We start from the raw sequence: 20808 nt of genomic DNA, 5'->3' as shown, positions 1-20808 counted from the left end.
CAAACTTGCAAAGTTTTTAGCCTTTATTTCTTCACGTAACTTCCTGCACCCTACTCTCTCTCCTCTCCTTCTGCAACTCCAATAACACAAAGCATTCACCCTTTTGCTGTTGTCCCACAGGTCCCTGAGGCTCCAGTCTTTTTTTTTCTTATCATTTTTTCTTTCTTTCTTTTTTTTTTTTTTTTTTTTTTTTTTGAGACCTAATCTCACTCTGTTGCCCAGGCCAGAGTGCAGTGGCATGATCTCGGCTCACTGCAACCTCTGCCTCCCAAGTTCAAGCAATTCACATGCCTCAGCCTCCCCATTAGCTGGAGTTACAGGCATACACCACCGTGCCTAATTTTTTTTTTTTTTTGAGATGGAGTCTTGCTCTGTCACCCAGGCTGGAGTGCAGTGGTGCGATCTCAGCTCACTGCAACCTCCGCTTCCCAGGTTCAAGCTATTCTCCTGCCTCATCCTCCCGAGTAGCTGGGATTACAGGCACGTGCCACCACACCCGGCTAATTTTTTGTATTTTTTAGTAGAGACGAGGTTTCACTGTGTTAGCCAGGATGGTCTCAATCTCCTGACCTCATGATCCACCCGCCTCGACCTTCCAAAGTGCCGGGATTACTAGCATGAGCCACCGCGCCCGGCCCAATTTTTGTATTTTTAATAGAGTCAGGGTTTCACCATGTTGGCCAGGCTGGACTGGAATTCCTGACTTCAAGTAATCCTCCCGCCTTGGCCTCCCAAAGTGCTGAGATTACAGGCGTGAGCCACCATGCCTGGCCCCTATTGTTTTTACTCTCTATCAGTCACATGTGATAATTTGTATTGAACTATTGTCAGGGTCACTGAATCTTCCCTTGTTTTTTTATTCCACTATTGAGCTTGTCCTGTGAGTTTTTTATCGCATCGGTTCTTTCTGCCTTCTGTGTCTTTGCTGAGACTGTATCTTTCTGTGTTTTTACCAGTTGGAAGTTTCTTGTAATAGCCGCTTTCGAGTTTTCATCCGCTAATTCCAGTATCTGAGTTACGTGGTGGTGACATCTGTATCTGCTCTCATGTGAGTAGAGATGTTCCTGGTTCTCCCTGCGCTAAGTAATTTTGTATCCTGGACATTTTAAATATTGTTATGAGGCTCTGGGTCTTGTTTAAATCCTATGGCAAATGTCATTATTTTTGTCTTAGCAGATGACTGATTCAGTTGGGTTCAGGTTGCATGTTCCAGCCAGGCTTCTCAGAGTGTGGTTTCCATGTCAGTCCTGTGTTCAGCAACTTTGCAGTGCCGTGCAGTGACCGACCATGCAGCTCTGTGCTATGTGCACATCACCCAGGGGCACCTGGGGACTTGGCAGTGAGCTGGCCACAGTTCATGTCTCAGTGTCTCTGAAATGCCGTTTAGGGTCAGGCCCACACGTGCACAGCTTGGGGGTGAGCCTTTGATCTCATCAAACACTGTGTTTAGTTACTTCCCTGAGCTCCCCTCTCTGTCATCTCCTGATAACTCCTAGTTCCCTGGTGCTCCTCTTTTTGGTATTTTGGCCAGAAAACTGAGGTTATTTATCCTGCTCTGCCACTCACTTCCTGGGACTGCACCCATGACCAGGGTCAAGTGGTGGGAGGACAGAGAAAGGAAGGATTGACAGGGCTTTGCCCTGTTCTCTTGGGACTGGAGAAGGGTCCCCTCTTTCAGTGTTTCAGGCACCTGCAGGCCCCTTTGACACAGCAGTGCCACCACAGTCACCGCAGGACTGCCTGGAGGCAGGAGTGTGAGAAAACAGAGAAAAGAAAAACCCCACAGAGGTATCTCCCCTCCTAGCTCGCTCTTCTCCCATCTGCTTCCCACTTTCAGCCTTCAGGTTGCCTTAAGGCCAGGCCAGGAGATACTGGTTTGGTGGTATTTTGGATTCTAGTCTTTTCCCCCAACTTGCCTACTACTGGGTAACTTTCTGAGTCCTCGAATAGCTGCCCTGTGTGTTTTATGAATGTATTACAGCTACTTTCAGTGGGGTTGACAAGGCGGGTGGCGCACATTTCCTGTCTCCCAGAATCAGAACTTGTGTCTTTTTTTTTTTTTTTTTTAAATGCACCTACAGATTCTCTCTCTTTCTCCATCTGTCTCTCACTTGAAAATGTATTAGGGCCAGGCTGGGCATGGTGGCTCACACCTGTAATCCCAGCACTTTGGGAGGCCAAGGCAGGAGGATTGCTTGAGTCCAGGAGTTCTAGACTAGCCTGGCCAACATGGCAAAACCCCGTCTCTACTAAAAATACAAAAAATTGGCCGGGCGTGGTGGCCCACGCCTGTAATCCCAGTATTTTGGGAAGGCGAGGCGGGCGGATCACCTGAGGTCAGGATTTCGAGACCAGCCTGGCCAACATGGCAAAACCCTGTCTTTACTAAAAATATAAAAATTAGCTGGGCATGGTGGTGGGTGCCTGTAATCCCAGCTACTTGGGAGGCTGAGGCAGGGACAATCACTTGAACCCAGTAGGCAGAGGTTGCAGTGAGCCAACATCACGCCACTGCACTCCAGCCTGGGTGACAGAGTGAGACCCTGTCTCAAAAAAAAAAAAAAAAGTATTAGGGTTGAATGCAGTGGCTCACGCCTGTAATCCCAGCACTTTGGGAGGCTGAGGCAGGAGGCTTCTATCGCAACGACTCAGCTCTGATGTAATACAAAGGCAGCCGTACACATGCCATTGCACTCCAGCCTGGGCTACAGAGCAAGACTCTGTCTCAAAAAAAAAAAAAAAAATTAGCTGGGCATGGTGGTGGGTGCCTGTAATCCCAGCTACTCGGTAGGCTGAGGCAGGGGAATGGCTTGAACCCAGGAGGTGGAAGTTGCAGTGAGCCGACATCACGCCACTGCACTCCAGCCTGGGTGACAGAGTGAGACCCTGTCTCAAAAAAAAAAAAAAAAATGTACTAGGGTTGAATGCAGTGGCTAATGCCTGTAATCCCAGCACTTTGGGAGGCTGAGGCAGGAAGATCACTTAAGTCCAGGAGTTCAAGACCAGCCTGGCCAACATGGTGAAACCCTGTCTCTACTAAACATACAAAAAATTTGCTGGGCATGGTGGCGTGCACCTGTAATCGCAGCTACTCGGGAGGCTGAGGCAGGAGAATCGCTTGAACCTGGAGGAGGAGGTTGCAGTGAGCCGACACGCACCACGGCACTCCAGCCTGAGTGACAGAGCAAGACCCTGTCTCAAAAATATATTGATTGGGAAGCCCCAAACCTGAAGCAGGAATCTTTCCAGCATGCTGGCGAGGGAGTAGCAGTTCTCACGAGCTTGTTCTGCATGGCCCTCAGCCATGGGATCTCCATCACAAACACCCTGCCGGCCGGGCTGCAACACTGGCTCTGAACAGTGTGTTTACATCTGAATTGTCTCAAATTGTTCACTGTGAGTGGATGGTCTTCTGCCCAGGTGTGGGCAGATATCCAGAGCCCAGAGGCTATTCTAAATCGGGGGTGGACACATGTTTTCTGAAAAGGATGGAGAGACACTCGTTGAGGCTTTGCAGGCTATATGGCTTCTGTCACAACGACTCAGCTCTGATGTAATACAAAGGCAGCCGTACACAACACAGACACAAAAGGGCACGGCTGTGCTCTAGAAAGACTTTTATCTTAGAAGCAGGCAGCAGGCCAGATTTGGCCCGCGGGCTGTAGCTTGCCAACCCCTGTTCTAAGTAACACTTTCACATTGATCATGAAAACATTTCTGCCCTTTCTCTTGAGCTCTCAATAAAAAGCAAACTTCCGGCTGGGCGTAGTGGCTCACACCTGTAATCCCAGCACTTTGGGAGGCTGAGACAGGCGGATCATGAGATCCAAAGATTGAGACCATCCTGGCTAACATGGTGAAACCTCGTCTCTACTAAAAATACAAAAAATTAGCCGGGCGTGGTGGCACGCGCCTGTAGTCCCAGCTACTCAGGAGGCTGAGGTAGGAGAATCGCTTGAACCCAAGAGGCAGAGGTTGCAGTGAGCCGAGATCACGCCACTGCACTCCAGCCTGGGCGACAGAGTGAGACTCCGTGTCAAAAAAAAAAAAAAAAAAAAGCAAACAGGAGTGTTAGAAGAAAGGCCAGCTTCCCCATAGACTTTCATTTTAACTAAGTTCCCTCCCAGTCACCTGACTTCCAAGCTCGGCGACTTGATTCTGCATCTCCAGTTGAGTGCCCCCTGCAGGCCCTGCATGGTTTTCACTACCAGGACCCTTCCCCACACCCGAGACCTTCCTCCTCAGCACCCCCCACTTCTAGCAAGATGGTCTTGCCTGCCTTGGGCTCACCATCTGCAGTTGAAGGCAGAGTCAAACATGACCAAGGCAAGGCAGATGGTGAGAAGGGTTGTGATGGAAAAACCAGGGCGGGAGAGTCAAGTGATTCCTGAAGCCTCTAGTGAAGGGGACTGGAGTGGACTGTGGAGGGGCCGTCTTAGGCTGGAGGGAATGGCAGCCAGAAGTGAGGCAGGAACCAGAAAACCCAGTCCTTTACCCCAATTTCACACTCTTAACTCAGAGTGTCAAACCAACCTCACGGGAACTTTTCCTAAAACTGACCCATCAGTCGGTCACTATTTTTAAGGTTTCCCACCTCTTTTACCTAGGAAGTGCCAAACAATCTTTTGGCAGAGCATTAAAGGGGAGGGAAAGATGGCCCGAGTGACTGGAAATGGGCCAGCATTTTCCCATACAAAATGCTGTGTGCCTTAATCCATTATCCATTATTTCTTATGCATTTGCCAAGTTGGATTAGACTCTTGCATAGCAGATCACCAGGCTGGAAGCATTCAAGGGAGTCTTCCTTTCTTCTCTTCAATCTTTTTTTTTTTTTTTTTTTTTTTTTTTTGAAACAGGGTGTTGCTCTGTTGCCCAGGCCGGAGTGCAATGGCACGGTCATGGCTCGCTGCAGCCCCAACCTCCTGGGCTCAAGCAATCCTCCCACCTCCGCTTCCTGAGTAGCTGGGACTACAGGCACATGCCACCATGCCCATCTGTTTTTCATTTTTATTGTTTGTAGAGTCGTGGTCTCCCAATGTTGCCCAGGCTGATCTTAAACTGGGCTGAAACGATCCTCCTGCTCAGCTTCCTGAGTAGCTGGGATCACAGGCGCGCACCACCATGCCCGGCTAATTTTTGTATTTTTTGTAGAGACAAGGTCTCACCATGTTGCCCAGGCTGGTCTCAAACTCCTGTGCTTAAGTGATCCACATGTCTTGGCCTCCCGAAGTGCTGGGGTTATAGGCATGAGCCACCATGCCTGGCTCTCTTTGATCTTTAAAGCTAAGCTGTTTTCTCTTTTTCATCATGATAGCTACTCATCAAATTTGGTCAAATATAGGGGGGTGGTACTCCTTTGGCTTAATTGTACCTTAGTTGCCCAGGACTGGACCCCCTCAGCAGGGGTGGGGGCTGTCTGTGAAAGCACAGCTGGATATGGTCTTGCCCATCAGGCAGTGTTTCAAATTCAATATGCCAAGAGTTCCTGGAACCAGGACTGTCAGTGTGATGAGCATTCGTTCTAAGCACACAGGAAGGGAGAAACTATGTAGTTCATATCCTCAGGAATAACACGCACCTAAAAAATGTGGCATACTCATGAGCCACCATCACTGCCCCTGCCAAACGAAAGGCCCGGTGGAGATGGCGCCACGGTCTGTCTTAGTCAGCAAAGGCAGCAGGACTTCCCCACGCCTGGTGGTAGAAGACCTGCCTTTCCCTTTTCAGATTTCCTTTGAAGATGCTATGATCCCCAAACCACCTGTGACCCAGGAACTTGAGCAGGAACTGCTGTGTCTGGGCCGCTCTTCCCCCGGCCCGCTCTCCTGGTCAAGAGTGTTTGCTTCAACCAGCTGCCTTAGTGCAGCAGAAGCCGGGAGCTGGCCTGCTGACCACTGGAAGGCAGAAGTCTCTGGGATCCAGGCAGGCAGGAGAGCAGGCAGGCCCAGAGCCTCTGCTCCAGCTCTCTATCTCGGCCCGGGAGAAGCCAGAGACCTGAATGGAGCATGCGTCTGAGCCTGGCATCAGGCACTACGCCCAGCAGCTTCTCCAGCTTCACGGGACCCTACATGGCCAGTGTTACTATTATTGTGCCCATGTTGTAGCTGCAGGGCCTGAGGCACGCCCAGAGCCACACCGGGGGAAGCGGCAGGGCTGGCCAGGGTAGACCAGGCACATGGTGCACAGGGCCAGCGCTCTGACCCAGGGGCTCCAGGGCTGTGCTATGCAGCCCAGGACAGAAGCTCAAAGGCTGGGCAAAGCCTATCTACTCCCTGTCGTGTTTTGTGCCATTCACAGGCCCCCAACGTGTCCCCATGCCACCTGATATGTTCCTCCACTAGAGTCGTGACCAAAAGCCTTGTCATGGTTTGTTGGCCTACCCGGCTCCCCAGTCAGTGTTTCCTAAAAGTACTCATTCATTCATTCATTCATTCATTCATTCATTCATTCATTCATTCATCTATTCTCTCATGCAACAAATCACTTTGCTAAGCACAGGGACCAAAGCAGTGAACAAGAGAGTTAAACGTCTTGCTCTCAAGGAACAGAAGTTCTAGTCATGGAGAGACAGACAATAAACCAGATAAATAAGCAAAGGAGTCACGTCAGTTAGAGGCAGATCTGAACTTCATAGCTGGAAGAGAGGCTTGGCATGGGGCCAAGGCATCTGTGGGCCCCTCTGCCCCATCCACCCCACACATCCATTGCAGAAGGCCCAGGGTGGGTGTCTGGATACCACTGAGCAACCCTCAAAGTCTCTCTCCTTTCCAACCTCAAAACATTTGAAACAGTACTATTTCGTGTAAGTAATTTTTACAAGTTACAGCATTCCAATGAAAATGTTTCTGGTGGGTAAGCATTCTGGATTCTAGGTGGAAATCTAGAATCCAGAGATGCAGGGCCTCAGGGTGGGCTGCCAGTGATCGTCTGTGTGTCCCACTGGCTATATACACGCCCTTGAAGCCGCACTGCCCTTCTTTCCCCACTCCAGAATCTAACAAGGCTGCACAGTTTTCACACAGGATCCAGCTGCCTGGACAGATTTGTTTCCGTGATTTTTAAAAAATTTCTACCTCACTGAGTGATAGTTTCTGGGGAAAATATGGTGATTCTCTCTGTGTTTGCAGCTGGATATCCCAAACATGCCCTCAGTGATCTAGAATAGTCATTTTTTTTTTTTTTTTTTGAGATGGAGTTTCGTTCTTGCCCAGGCTGGAGTGCAGTGGCGCGATCTCTGCTCACTGCAACCTCCGCCTCCTAGGTTCAGGCGATTCTCCTGCCTCAGCCTCCTGAGTAGCTGGGATTACAGGCACATGCCACCATGCCCGGCTAATTTTTATATTTTTAGTAGAGACCATGTGGGCCAGGCTGGTCTCAAACTCCTGACTTCCAAGTGATCCCCTCGCCTGGGCCTCCCAAAGTGCTGGGATTACAGGCATGAGCCACTGCACCCGGCCTAGAATAGTCTTTCAAATATGCATTTAACTTCTGTGAATTCTTCCTGAGCTTATTTAAAAGCTTGGTCTGCATAACCTCTTTGCATAGTGCACCTGCAGTGTGGACAGAGTACAGGACCATGCATCCCAAGTCACCATCATAAAAATGATGATGAAGTCTATTGTTAGAAATTAAAATCTCAATTATAATTGACATCGTTATTAGTTACATTACACTATATGTGATTACATTGTATTATAAATAATATATTGACTGAGTATTTATAATGTGTGTTATTATTATGATTATTTTGATGATGGTGGTAGCTGTAGTCTACGCGCCTGGTCTGGCATGTTATCTGCTACATGACATTGCAGGTGCACCTTGCACTATGCAAGAGGCTGTAATTACATTCTGGGTGACTCCCCTTGATTGGGAGTGTAGCATTGGCAGCAGGACCGTGTGCTGTGGAGTCCTTACAGCAACCTTGCGGAGGTGGCACTGCTGTCTACCCTATTTCACAGATGCAGAATCCAGGCCTTGAAGAGGTTGTGTATCTTGCTGAAGATCCCACAATTAAATCCCAGAACTGAGATGCAAACACAGTGTTGTACTATTGGCCACTGTTCTTGTTTCAAAGGTTGCATCTCAGGAAGGCACAGAGCGTGTTACTCTGGTGAGAGCTTCACTTCCTTAGGCCTCAGTTTTTCCATCTATAAAACCATGGGGTTGGACTTGAGCATGGAAATCCCTTCTAGTCTTGAGCATGGAAATCCCTTCTAGTCTTATAGTTCTGTGATTCTGATCATGTCCACGCTGTTGTTACCTGCAGAGTAAAGAAATATCTCCTTCAATTTGTTTTAAACTTTCTTCTAACCTTTAAGGGGCATCCATTGCCTTTTCATCTCTTCCCGCTGGAGACAGGATTTCAAGAGTAAGAGGTTAGACTTCTAATTATGTGCTTTGGTTGTTCAAAAACAAAACAAACCCTCATCCAAAATAAACAGGCTTTCTTGCTTTTAGGGAGAAAAATGACACATATGCATATTCATTTATATGGTAATTATTATTATTTAGCTACACAGGGACTAGAATTGGTAATTTAGAGCACAGAAAGAATGCAGGGAATAGTGTTCAGGGAAAAATAACGCAATCATAACCCATCAGGATTCTGTAGTTAATGCAGGGGGGTCGTTTCTTTTTCTTTTTTCTTTTTTTTTTTTTTTTTTTGGTCTAATGCAGTCTCTTTGAAGAATTTTTTTTTGAAGTGACCATCAAATGCATTAGAGAAAGAAAAATTAGCACTCTGTATTGGAACGATCAAAAGGAGTTGGCTCTACCTGTTGGATACCCATTAGCCATTGTTAGGGACAATCAAGAGAATGTGCCCGAATCCTCAGACTACCCCTGTAGGGCAAAGAAAAGCCAAGACATAAGACAGTAAGTTCTGGAAACTTGGGGGGAAAGGCTCAGTACCAAAGAGATTCTAAATTTTACCTTGACCATAGTCACCATTTGTGCTCCATTTTATTTAAATTGCTAAGAATCCCTTTCCTTTATTTGGAACCTGATCCATCTCCCCACAGCTACCCTGGTTTCTTCCCAACTCTTTCTTCACATTGCTGCTGGAAGGATGGCTTTTTAAAGAATGAATGAATTTATTTCATTACCATGATATATTCATTCCTATGGTTCCAAAGGCACCAAAGTCCCCCCTCACTCCTGTTCCTTAGCCACCCAGCTTCCTTCCCTGGAGGCAACTGATGTTCACACTTTCTTGAAAGTGCACCCTTCTGAGGATGACTTTAAACATAGAGAAACATTTGTTATTTTAAAATAAATGTGGTTGTGACCCTCCACTGCTTCCAGGAGCCCTGTGTGTCCTGGGCCTGCCTGCGGTTCAGCTTCATCCCTGGACTTCTCTCATCTACCCACTCAGTACCCGCCACCTTTCTCCAGGTCAACCTGCACCCACCCTGCTCAGGCCTTTGTGGGCAGCTGCCAGACCCTAATTGCATTAGGCCATTCTTGCAATGCATAAAGAAATACCTGAGACTGAGTAATTTATAAAGAAATGAGGTTTAATTGGCTCATGGTTCCGCAGGCTATAAGAGAAGCATGGTGCTGGCATCTGCTCTGCTTCTGGGAAGGCCTTAGGAAGTTTACCATCACGGCAGAAGGTGAAGGGGGAGCAGGCACATCATGTGGCCAGAGCAGGAGCAAGAGAGAGACAGTGGGAGGGGGAGGCGCCACACACTTTTAACCAGATCTCTTGAAAACTCACTATTGTGAAGACAGCACCAAACCATGAGGGACCCGCCCCCATGATCCAAACACCTCCCACCAGGCTCCACCTCTAGCAATGGGGATTACATTTTAATGTGAGATTTGGGTGGGGACACATATCCAAACTATATCACTAAGCAACTCTCAGTGATTTCCCACCCCCTTGTGTCCATGCCTATGTAATCCCCTCCCCTTGAGTGGGGGCAGGACCAGCTGAATGTGGCAAAGGTGAGGGGATGTCACTCCTGTGCTACATTATGTTATGTAAGAATGTGCCTTAGCAGACCAGAGAGAGATCCTCCTTGCTGGCATGATGAAGTATGCAGCTATGTTGGAGAAGCCCACATGGCTGGTCTCTAGGAACTGCAGGGGCCTCCAGCCCCTAGCAAGCGAGAAACCGGAGCCCTCAGTCATGTGGCAGCAAGGAAATGGATTCTGTCAACAATCCAGATGAGCTGGGAAGAGGGTTCTCCCTCAGTCAAGCCTCCAGATGGGAACACAGCCTGGTCAACACCTTGACTGCAGCCTTTGAGACTGAGCAGAGGACCCAGCTGAGCTGTGCTCAGACTCCTTGAAAACCATGTGATAATAACTGTATTGTCTACAGTCACTAAGATTGTTATGCAGCAGTGGAAAAGGAATACACAGTGCTCTTAACCCCACCCCTTAGCTAGAAAACTGCTCTCATTCCTCAGCCTCAGCTTCAAGTCACTTCTTCAGGGAGGCCTCCCCTGGCCTTGCCCAGCCCCAGATGAGGCCGACCTGCCTGTTACACATGCTCACAGCATTCTGCTCTCCAACTCTGCACTGTCATAGTTAGGAGTAGGAATGCAAGATCTTTCATGTGATACCTGGCAGAGACTCCATGCTGGGTAAATATTTATAGAATGAATGAATGAATGAATGAATGAATGAACCAGTCAATAATGAATCAATCAATGCCATTTGGATAATTCCCCAGTTCTGTACCACCGTGGCAGTGAAATCTTATCCCAACATGCACATGGCCCAAGGAGGCAAAGGTGTTTAAAATCCAGCAGCCCTATCCAGTCACATCCGGATGCCCTAATAATGGTTTCAACACTAGGAACATACTTGTCTTCAGGCTTCTTTGGGGAGATTGTTTTGGCCAGTGTGCTAGCTTTGTTTTCTGTGAATTTTGGATCTGTTTAGCGACTTCTTCCTTGTATTCTAAAATTATTCCCATCATTAGTGCTTTCAAGTTTCCCATTTGGCCTTGGACTCCTACACCTTGAGAAAGTTCAAGCACTGCACCCTAAGGGTGGAGGTCCCCCCTTGGGACCCCGGGTTCAGGTTTTTGAGAACCAGTCTTCCAATCTGATCTCCTATGCCAGGAGATTTTCTGTCTCCTCCTCCTCTATTCCTCTAATCAACTGTAACAAGAATCAAGCGCCAGGGTGCTTGATTTTAAAGCATTAAATAAATGTGTAACATAAAAGTGATCACACCTGGTGGATGAATCCCAGTTTGTCTTATCAATGTCTTTTAAAAAGCCATCTACAGAAATCATCCCACAAAAACCTCTTATGAAAAGGGAAACTGAGGCCCAGATGGAGGAAGGAATTTGGTTGACGTCCCACAGGCCAGGTCAGTGTGGCATTTTACAGGCCACCACGCAGAGGCTCCTGGCTACCTGACTGGCAGGTCAGGCTTCAGCTGGACTCGGCAGGTTTGTGCCAGGCCTTCTGACAAAGGCATTTTTATGTCACCAGCACCAGACATTTGGAATATCACAGACTGGAAAATATCTGGCAAAGAAAAAAAGAAATGTTTTCATGTATGGATGCTACCCCCACGCCGCTGCAGGGGGCAAAGGAAAGACTTGTGCCCAATTATGACGGCTCGTCATGTGCGGAGAATTTTATTATTCATCAAAAGGCAGAGGCCTTCACGCACCGGGAATGTGATTCTTATGGGCTCCACACGTGGCTCGGGTTCACATCTGCTGACCTGAGCTGACCCTTGAATATCTGGGCTGGCAGACAGCAGCGAGGGACACTCAGACAGGGACTGGTGTGGACAGCCTGCTCGGGCTGCAGTGCTTTTCTATGTAGAGCGCCCTGTAATTCACAGGCAGGCAGCATGGCCTTAGGTGCTGCGGCGCATGCTCTGAAGTAACAGCTGTCTCACTGTCTGATTAAAATGTGACGATCCAAGCATAGCACTTAGCACTGTGCCCAGCCCGGAGGTCCACTTAGAGTTGATGCTTTTTACATGCTGGATGACTTGGGTGAAGGCCATTTGAGGATCCCTTATGAGTAGAAGTCTGCTACTTCTTCATACCTGGGCTTTGTGTTAGAAAACAGTCCTGGACACTTTCTGGGTGGGTTTATGATCTACCAGCAACATCATGGTGTACTTTTTTTTTGGCGCGATCTCGGCTCACTGCAACCTCCGCCTCCTGGGTTCAAGTGATTCTCCCACCTCAGCCTCCCAAGTAGCTGGGATTGCAGGCGTGTGCCACCACAACTGACTAATTTTTGTATTTTTAGTAGAGACAGGATTTCACCATGTTAGCCAGGCTGGTCTCGATCTCCTGACTTCAGGTGATCCACCTGCCTCAGCCTCCCAGATTCCTGGGATTACAGGCATGAGCCACTGTGCCTGGCCTGTGGTGCACTTTTGAAACCACCACTCAAGTGAGTTCTATTATATCCCCATACCTGGATGAATGAGAGTGAGCAGTCTTTTCAGTGTAGTGCCTGAGGAAAAAAATCAGTGAAATTTCCGAGCCAGCTGCAGACTGCCTTCCTCATGCCTGTTCACTTGCCTTGTGTGTGTGTGTGTGTGTGTGTGTGTGTGTGTGTGTGTGTGAGTGTCCACTTGGGATTGAGTCCCACCACTCTGGAGGTTAGGAATGGTTCAAAATGTTGCCAAACGCGAGCGTAATGCAAGAAGCCAAGCACGTGAGATGCTCGGTTCACTCCTTTGGAGATGGAGCTGGGCTGTGAGGGAAGGGACCTTCAGTGTGACTGCAGCAGGAATTTGCTTTCTTGATGCTTGCTTTGGTTTGAATGTTTGTCCTCTCCAAAACTCATGTTGAACTTTAATCTCCAATGTGGCAGCATTGAGAGCCATAGTACTACCTTTAAGAGGTGACTGGGGCCGGGCGCAGTGGCTCACACCTGTAATCCTAGCACTGTGGAAGGCCAAGGCGGGTGGATCACCTGAGGTCAGGAGTTCGAGAACAGCCTGGGCAACATGGTGAAACCCTGTCTCTACTAAAAACACAAAAATTAGGTGGGCATGGTGGCGGGTGCCTGTAGTCCCAGCTACTCAGGAGGCTGAGGCAAGAGAATCACTTGAACCCGGGAGGCAGAGGTTGCGGTGAGCCGAGATCGCGCCACTGCACTCTAGCCTGGGTGACAGAGCAAGGCTCCGTCCCTGCGCCCCCCCCCCCGGCAAAAAAAATGTTTTCTTTACAATTTACACAGTTTCAGGTATTCTGTCATAAGCCGCAAAAACGGACTAAGACAGTGCTCAACTGGTGGGAGGTACCTCCTCAATCTGCATTCTGTTCACAGTGTCTCCTCATTCTTCTTCCTTAACTGTGAGGCTCAGAGCCCCTGCCGGAGTCAAAGCGACACTGTGACTAACAAAAGCTAGGCCTGCTGCATCCTCCCCGGTGCTGCTGAGCAGGAGCCTGCGGAGGGATGCTGTCCCCATCTGCATCCTGGCTAATGCATTCTAGACATCGCCTCTTATTCCCCAGCACCTCTTCGAGAAGTCTTCCTATTCTCCCATCAAAAGCATAGGAAGGAAACAGAGCCTGTCCACCAGGACCCATGATCAGTTAAATGGAATATGAACGGGTCTCTGCTTCAGTGTGTTAAAAGAGTGTTACTTTGCCCCATGACTCATTGAGCCTGTGATCATGTTACATTAAAGACAGGAAAGAAGGAAAATGAAGGCCAGAACTAAGCCAAGACACAGTTGGTGAAGAGCAAAATTGGTCCATCAAGATAAGGGTACACATCAGCTGGGCGTGGTGGCTCACGCCTGTAATCCCAGCACCGTGGGAGGCCTAGGCGGGTGGATCTTTTGAGGTCAGGAGTTCGAGACCAGCCTGGCCAACATGGTGAAACCTCATCTCTAGTAAAAATACAAAAATTAGCCAGGTGTGGTGGTGGGCGCCTGTAATCCTAACTACTTAGGAGGCTGAGGCAGGAGAATCGCTTGAACCCAGGAGGCAGAGTTGCAATGAGCCGAGATCACACCACTGCACTCTCCATCTGGGCGACAGTTGGAGACTCGGTCTCAACAAAAAAATAAAAAAATAATAAGGTACACAGAATGCTCAGCTAGCATTTACTGGCCCCTGATATGTGCCGAACACCACGTCACACTGTGATGCATTTTCCCATTGAACCTGCATGACTGTCCTATGATGTTTTCAACAGCTAAGACTTCTGGGGCACCTGCTGTGCACCAGCAAATGTTCTAGGTGGCTCAGAACAGAGGGCTGACAGGAACAGGCAGGTTCTAAGAGCTGCTGTCATTCTACGGATGAGGCCGTAGCACAGGAGCCCCACCCACTGACCCAAAGGAGGGATAAATACATTACCTAGAAGAAAAACTGACCTTCTAGAAATGCATCAGGTTCAAAATGTCTGCTTCTGCATAATCTTCCTCCTGGAGCTACAGTAAGAATGCCATCATCAGATGCAACACCTGGACCATTCTGAACCTTGACCATGTCCGCAGATCCCTGGAGTCAGGTCTCTGATGCACTTGGGAAGCAAGGTCAGGCCCCCAGCCCCAAAAGTGACTGTACTGGCCGGGGGTGTTTCCTTTACTGAACATGAAATGCAAAATTCTATTTTGTGTTCCCAGGTTGACTCCTCTTAGATCTCATGTAATATCATGGAAACTTGGTTCTTTCACTGTAAAGGGGGAGCGGACGTAGCACACTTTTGACTGTGGAGCCAAAAGTTTAGAATTTACATGGTGGGTTTCTATAGTCTTTTTTCCTCCTCTTTGGTCTTAGATTTATGCTTCCCTGCCCATAACATGAGTCAGTATTTTATAGTGGAAACAGTAACGGAGTGGAGGAGCTAGATGCTGGTCCACAGAACCACCAGCTGTTTGTTTTATTTCTCCTTGTGGTGTCATTGGGCTGGCATTAATTACACCACTTTCATCCCACTGACAGTAGGAACACAGGATTTTCTTGCCATTGTTTTGACACTCACGGGTTTATAGATGTCACTTGCCTCCTCCAAGGAGTGCGGTTTTATTGATCCACAGCTCTGCTGAGGCCCTGGCTGTGTGTTCCTCAAATACAGATGCAGTTAGCTTTGCAGGGGATTGGAAGTGGAGGTCTGAGTTCCACTCAGGAAACGTATGGCCCGCATCACGGCGAGGCAGGGCTTCTGAGGGCTTGGTGAGGTGCCGGGCACAGCACAGTGAGCACACCTCCTGTGCCCCCTTATTTGTGGGTGTTTCTGTAAGAGACCCTGATGCTGAGGCGTGGTTGGTTGGTTGGTGTGATATGGGCTTCTTAAGGGCACGTGTGGATCATGTGTCTGCATACAGAGCCGTAGCACTCCATGTGGACAGGAACGCGTGTTCCGATATGCTCTGTGGATGTGTGATGCCTCAGATCATCCCTCTCACTGCAGTAGAAGAGGAAAAAGAGATGATCAAATGCAGGACAGGGCCTGAGGTTTGAGCAGACGCAAGCAGACCTTGGAGCAGGAGAGAGTATTGAGAGGCACGGAGATGATGGGAACGGGACTGGACCCAGAAGTACTGACCACATCACTCTTCTCTTCGCAGGCTGAGCAGAGAGTCAGAGGTGCCACGTCTGCTCCCGAGAGCTAGCAGGGCACCCACAGCAGAAGGGCAGAGCAGAAGGGGGCCAACTCCTCATTCTTTCATTCTTTTTTTTTTTTTTTTTTTCGAGATGGAGTCTTGCTCTGTCACCCAGGCTGGAGTGCAGTGGCGCAATCTCAGCTCACTGCAACCTCTGCCTCCAAGATTCAAGCGATTCTCCTGCCTCAGTCTCCCGAGTAGCTGGGATTACAGGCGCCCGCCACCACGCCCAGATAATTTTTGTATATTTAGTAGAGATGGGGTTTCACCACGTTGGCCAGGATGGTCTCGATCTCTTGACCTCATGATCCGCCTACCTTGGCCTCCCAAAGTGCTGGGATTATAGGCGTGAACCACCACGCCTGGCCCGTTCTCCCATTCTTAGGCTGAGTTTGGTCTGTTTTTCAAATGAGTTGTCAACTATGAAAAGCCTGTGTATGCCAGGAGACATTTATTAAGCACCTGCTATCTGCCAGACGTTGTGCCACCACTTTAGGTACATCGTTGCCTGTAACCCTAAACGCTATGAAGTGTAGGTACTATTATCATCATTCCTGTTATACAGATAAGGAAACAGTCACATGGGCTTCCAGAGGACAGGCAAACTCCCCTCAGAGAGGGCAGCTGGCCAAGTGATGGCAAATGGCGTGAGCCCACCTTGGGGTGAATCCACAGTAGCTGTTAACTCACTAGACCCCCGCATTCTAATTGAAATGTGTCTGTCCCAGCTGGGCGTGGTGGTGCACCTGTAATCCCAGCACTTTGGGAGGCCAAGGCAGGAGGATGACTCGAGGCCAGAAGTTTGAGAGCAGCCTGGGCAATATAGCAAGACCCCAGTTTCAAAAAAAGAGAAATGTGTCTACCCCAAGTCCTCCTTAATTAAAGATCTTCCCTCAGTTCATACCTGGAATGCCAGTTGCTCCTGTTTCCCAGAGATTTGCCTTTTTAAACAATTTTTTTTAATATTAAGTTCTACAAACTTAAGTGGGACTCCTTGGAAGTAGGTAGAGAAAAAGAAGATCGTTCACCTTTCTCAAAATTATAATGATAAAACTAGTTAACTTTGGGTCATTTCTTTGTTGCCAGGCACTACACTTGTTTTGTTATTTGTTTTTTCAGAGATGGGGTCCCACTCTGTCACCCAGGCTGAAGTGCAGTGGCACAATTATAGCTCCCTGCAGCCTCGAACTCCCGGACTCAAGTGATCCTTCCACCTCAGCCTCCCAAGAAGCTGGGACTACAGGTGCATGTCACTATGCCTGGCTAACTTTTTGTTTTTTTTTGAGATGGAGTTTTGCTCTTGTTGCCCAGGCTAGAGTGCAGTGGCTCAATCTCAGCTCACCGCAACCTCCACCTTCCAGGTGCAAGCGATTCTCCTGCCTCAGCCTCCTGAGTAGCTGGGATTACAGGCATGCGCCACCATGTCTGGCTAATCTTGTATTTTTAGTAGAGACGGGGTTTCTCCATGTTGATCAGGCTGGTCTCGAACTCTCAACCTCAGGTGATCCACCCACCTCGGCCTCCCAAAGTGCTGGGATTACAGGCGTGAGCCACTGCGCCTGGCCTAATTTTTTATTTTTTTGTAGAAGCGGGGTCTCGCTGTGTTGTCCAGGCTGGTCTAGAACTCCTGGCCTCAAGCAATCCTCCCACCTTGGCCTCCTAAAGTGCTAGGATTATGGGCATGAGCCACGGTGCCTGGTCTGTTTGTTTATAATCCTCATTTAATTATTTCATCAACCGTGAGCTAGATTTTGATTATTCACATTGTGCAGAGGAGAATGAGGCCAGAGGGGATGAAGTGACTGGTTGAAAGTCACACATTGGCTGTGGCACAGGTCATCTGGTTCCAAAGCCACTGCTTTCCGCCGTTACAAGAAACTGATACTTTCCAGGGCTAATCTTGTTTCTAGACAGGTGGGTCTACACCACAGACATGGTCTAAAGTGTTTGAGGGGAATGGGCCCTGGATGCTGGGTTATCCGTGTCTGTTACTTTCATCTAAAGCACATTATGTCTGACTTGGAGAACTAAATGTGAACCTCCAAAGTGAGTTATCTCTGCAGGGGGCTATCTTGGGGCCAACCTCAGAGCTAGGGTAGACTGGTGCATCTGGGGACAGAACAATTTGTTCTTCAAACTGTGTCTTCTTCCATGGAGTGGCTTCAGGGGCACCATAGATACTTGATAGGAATTTAAATTTTTTTTAACTATTTAGGAACTAATAAAAACCCTCTTGAAGCCGGGCGCAGTGGCTCATGCCTGTAATCCCAGCACTTTGGGCAGCTAAGGCGGGTGGATCATGAGGTCAGGAGATCAAGACCATCCTGGCTAACACGGGGAAACCCCGTCTCTACTAAAAAATATAAAACATTAGCTGGGCGTAGTGGCATGCGCCTGTAGTCCCAGCTACTTGGGAGGCTGAGGCAGGAGAATCACTTGAACCCGGGAGGAGAAGGTCGCAGTGAGCCGAGATCATGCCGTTGCACTCCAGCAGTCTGGGCGACAGAGTGGGACTCTGTCTCAAAAAAAAAAAAAAAGGCACCTCTTGAATGCCTGCATTTGGGCTTTACCAGGTTTTCATATCCTAGAGATCATTGGCCTGTAGGCTGCACATCTAGGAGTAATGATATCCCCGCATCTGCACGTTTGTATAAAAATACCACGCATGTATCATTGATTATCAAGGGTGGAATTCAACTCTGTTTAGAAAAATCACTCCTGCATATTTCGGCGTTGTAAGAGCATAATCACTGTTAGGCTGCCCAGAAAAAGGTCAGGCAAAGCCCTGGGCACACCTCACCTTGATCAGGTGGAGGAATCAGAGCAAGTTAAGGGGTAACGGGTTCCTGCTACAGTCATACATGTGGAATGTGGAATACTAACGTTCCGTGTTCAGTGCATTCCACGTTCAGTGCTAACAGGGGTTGCATATTGTTTGGGATTCAACTTTGAGATAAAAATTCTTGCTAGTCATCTTTCAGGTGAGTTGAATATGGACGGCATCCTAGGGTTCTGTGGCAGGCTAAGGTTTTTATGTTTTTGTATAAACCAAAGTAACTGCTCCTGGGACAGTGTGATGTCAGATTTTTTTATGTTCATCAAGGTAGTCTCATTGTTCTCACCGATTGGCTTTAGAACATATCACTGTCCCAAACTGGATCTTTTAAGATGCATTTCCTTCCTGGCTGACAGAATCTCTCTCCTCTATGTTGGGAAACCACATTAGGCCGCGTTCAGCCTGCAGTGCCTCTTGTGAGGCTTGCCCTGGTTCAGACTTGGAACTGAGCGAAACTGATTTATCGAGTCCAAGTCTTCAGCCTCAGCTTGCCTCGTTGGGACTGCAGAGATTGAGCATGCAGCTCCAGGGAATGCCTCCGGTGGAGTCTGCAGTCGGAGCTGCGAGCCAGATCAGAGGCAGGACTGGGGAAAACACCCAGGGAGCCCCACGCTCTGGTCCTGGGAGGAGAGGGGAGGAGCGGAAAGGCAACGCATCAAAAAGGCAGAGGCCCAGAGGGCAACAGAGCCTTCCCATGTGAAGTTGCTAATTGCGCTTTAATAATAGTCAGGAGGGCAAAAGAGGCCAGTGTTCGCACAAAGCCGGACGGCTCGTGCCGCATCAGGCCGTGCTCTGCTGGGCCTCGCCAAGTTCCCCAGGCTGACTGGCGTCTTTTCTTTGCTTTTTTTTCATCTGTGACATCTGCTCAGTGCTTGTCCCTCCTGTGATACCATACCCCTCGCAGCTGTGCAGACCTCCAGCTCTGCACTGGTGCCTGGAGTGCCCTGAGCATACGGCCTTTTTGATGTGTGATAAAACAGAACCGAGCCACGGGGGTACGGTGAGCGAAGGCATCAGAATATCAATTAACCTGCTCTGAACAAAGCTGCAGCTCAGAGTGGAATAGACATTTCACTGAAGTGTCAGGAAGATGGATAATGTATTCTAATTAGGGATTGACTGATACCTCCACATCCAGCCACTCCTGGACGTGAGACCCGCGAACCTCGCAACACAGGCTTGTTGGGAATGTCTTAATGTCCCATCATGGCAGTTGTCGGGTGCTATTTACTGATTTATGACTTCTTGCTTTGCCAGAATTTGTAGCCATTAAAGTCCTCCCAGCCAAAATTGCTGCTTCCCTGTGAACGTGCAGCCCATTTTGCAGCTGGGCAAATAACCCCTTTAAATGCAAGAGCTCTGGGAAAGAAGATCTTTTCTGAGCCCCAAGCCTGCAGCTTTCATCTTGAGAATGCCGTAGGACAGACCCGCCTTCAACAGAGGTTTGGTCAAGGCGCCCTCCCTTCCAGGTGGACCAGTGTGGACCAGCGTGGGCTGGCGCAGAGAGGAAGAGCCTCCATGGCTGCCTTCTCCATACAGTGGGGGGTGGCTCTAATGGGGCCTGGGTGCTGCTCGAGGGCTTCCTCGGGGACCTTGTTTCTTAGTCCCCAGGTGATCGTACCATTTCCCCAGCTCAGAGCAGACCTGGAGAGCTGGTGGCCTAGGGCTCACTCCAGAGCCCCCCACCTTCTTCCTTTTAGATTTTCACATCTGCACCAGAATGACACTCCAGTGAGGCCAGGCTAATTAGGGAGATGTTCCTCATTTTGCTGCACTTTTCCTGTGTAATTGGAAGTCCCGCTTTCTCTGGTGAAAAGTCAGTGAGAGCTGTTCCCCTGAATAGTTCTAAAAGCCTTGGACCACATACTGATATCTGCTGCAAATTTATGGGTGAGATTATAATGATTGCTCAGTAATGCAATATTAAAAGCAGAGGCCTTTTTCAGTGCTGAGCAAAGATGGAGTTCCAACCTTCCAGCTTCAAAAAGGGACTAAAACAGAATTGCCAGCCCTTGTACTAGAAGCAGCAATCAATGGGCTCACAATCCCTCCCCGTCCAAATGAAGGAAAAATAAGGGGGTATGAATTTAGCTAAAGTTCAGAAAATGTTGGTTCGGCTTCCAGAACTGTGAGGGAGCTGTCAGACGCTGCGTCTCCTGGTTCTGCTGGTGTTGCTCACGTCTGTAGATGTTTGCTCTTTCTAAGAGCTGCAGCCCGGCGCTTGGCTGGCTATAACAAGGACTTGAGGGAGCAAAAGACTGTTAAAAATTGTTTTTGCACTTTTGCTTCATTAGTTCTAGAAACCAGGGGTTCCGTGGCTGTGAGTCTTCCTGTATAATTCAAGAAATTAATGAAAGCTTGCTGGATTTTTCCAACAGTCTTTAGGCTGTAAATTTGTTTAGGTTTTTTTTTTT

The 20808-nt window shown here is 48.5% G+C and overlaps 1 protein-coding gene across 13 annotated transcripts in view, besides 1 other annotated feature; it reads left to right on the top strand.

The window, feature by feature from the left end:
• Positions 1–20808, top strand: part of AK8 (adenylate kinase 8) — a 153469-nt gene that overhangs the window by 26082 nt on the left and 106579 nt on the right. For 3 of the 13 annotated variants that reach the window (NM_001371773.1, NM_001317958.2, NM_001371774.1), the window contains one exon: positions 957–1048. The exons of the other annotated variants lie outside the window; for them this stretch is intronic. The gene's annotated coding sequence lies outside the window, so the exon portion shown is untranslated. The remainder of the gene's footprint in view (positions 1–956; positions 1049–20808) is intronic. 13 annotated transcript variants of the gene reach the window in all.
• Positions 17035–17197: a silencer, noted in NCBI's record as "fragment chr9:135711155-135711317 (GRCh37/hg19 assembly coordinates)". NCBI's record gives its function as "represses an EF-1alpha promoter that drives an FKBP-Casp9 reporter gene in an ReSE screen in K562 erythroleukemia cells {active_cell/tissue: K562}" and the evidence as "EXISTENCE:reporter gene assay evidence [ECO:0000049][PMID:32094911]".

This window comes from Homo sapiens, chromosome 9, assembly GCF_000001405.40.
Source record: "Homo sapiens chromosome 9, GRCh38.p14 Primary Assembly".
Lineage (NCBI taxonomy): Eukaryota > Metazoa > Chordata > Mammalia > Primates > Hominidae > Homo > Homo sapiens.
This window is presented reverse-complemented; position numbering and strand designations above follow the sequence as displayed.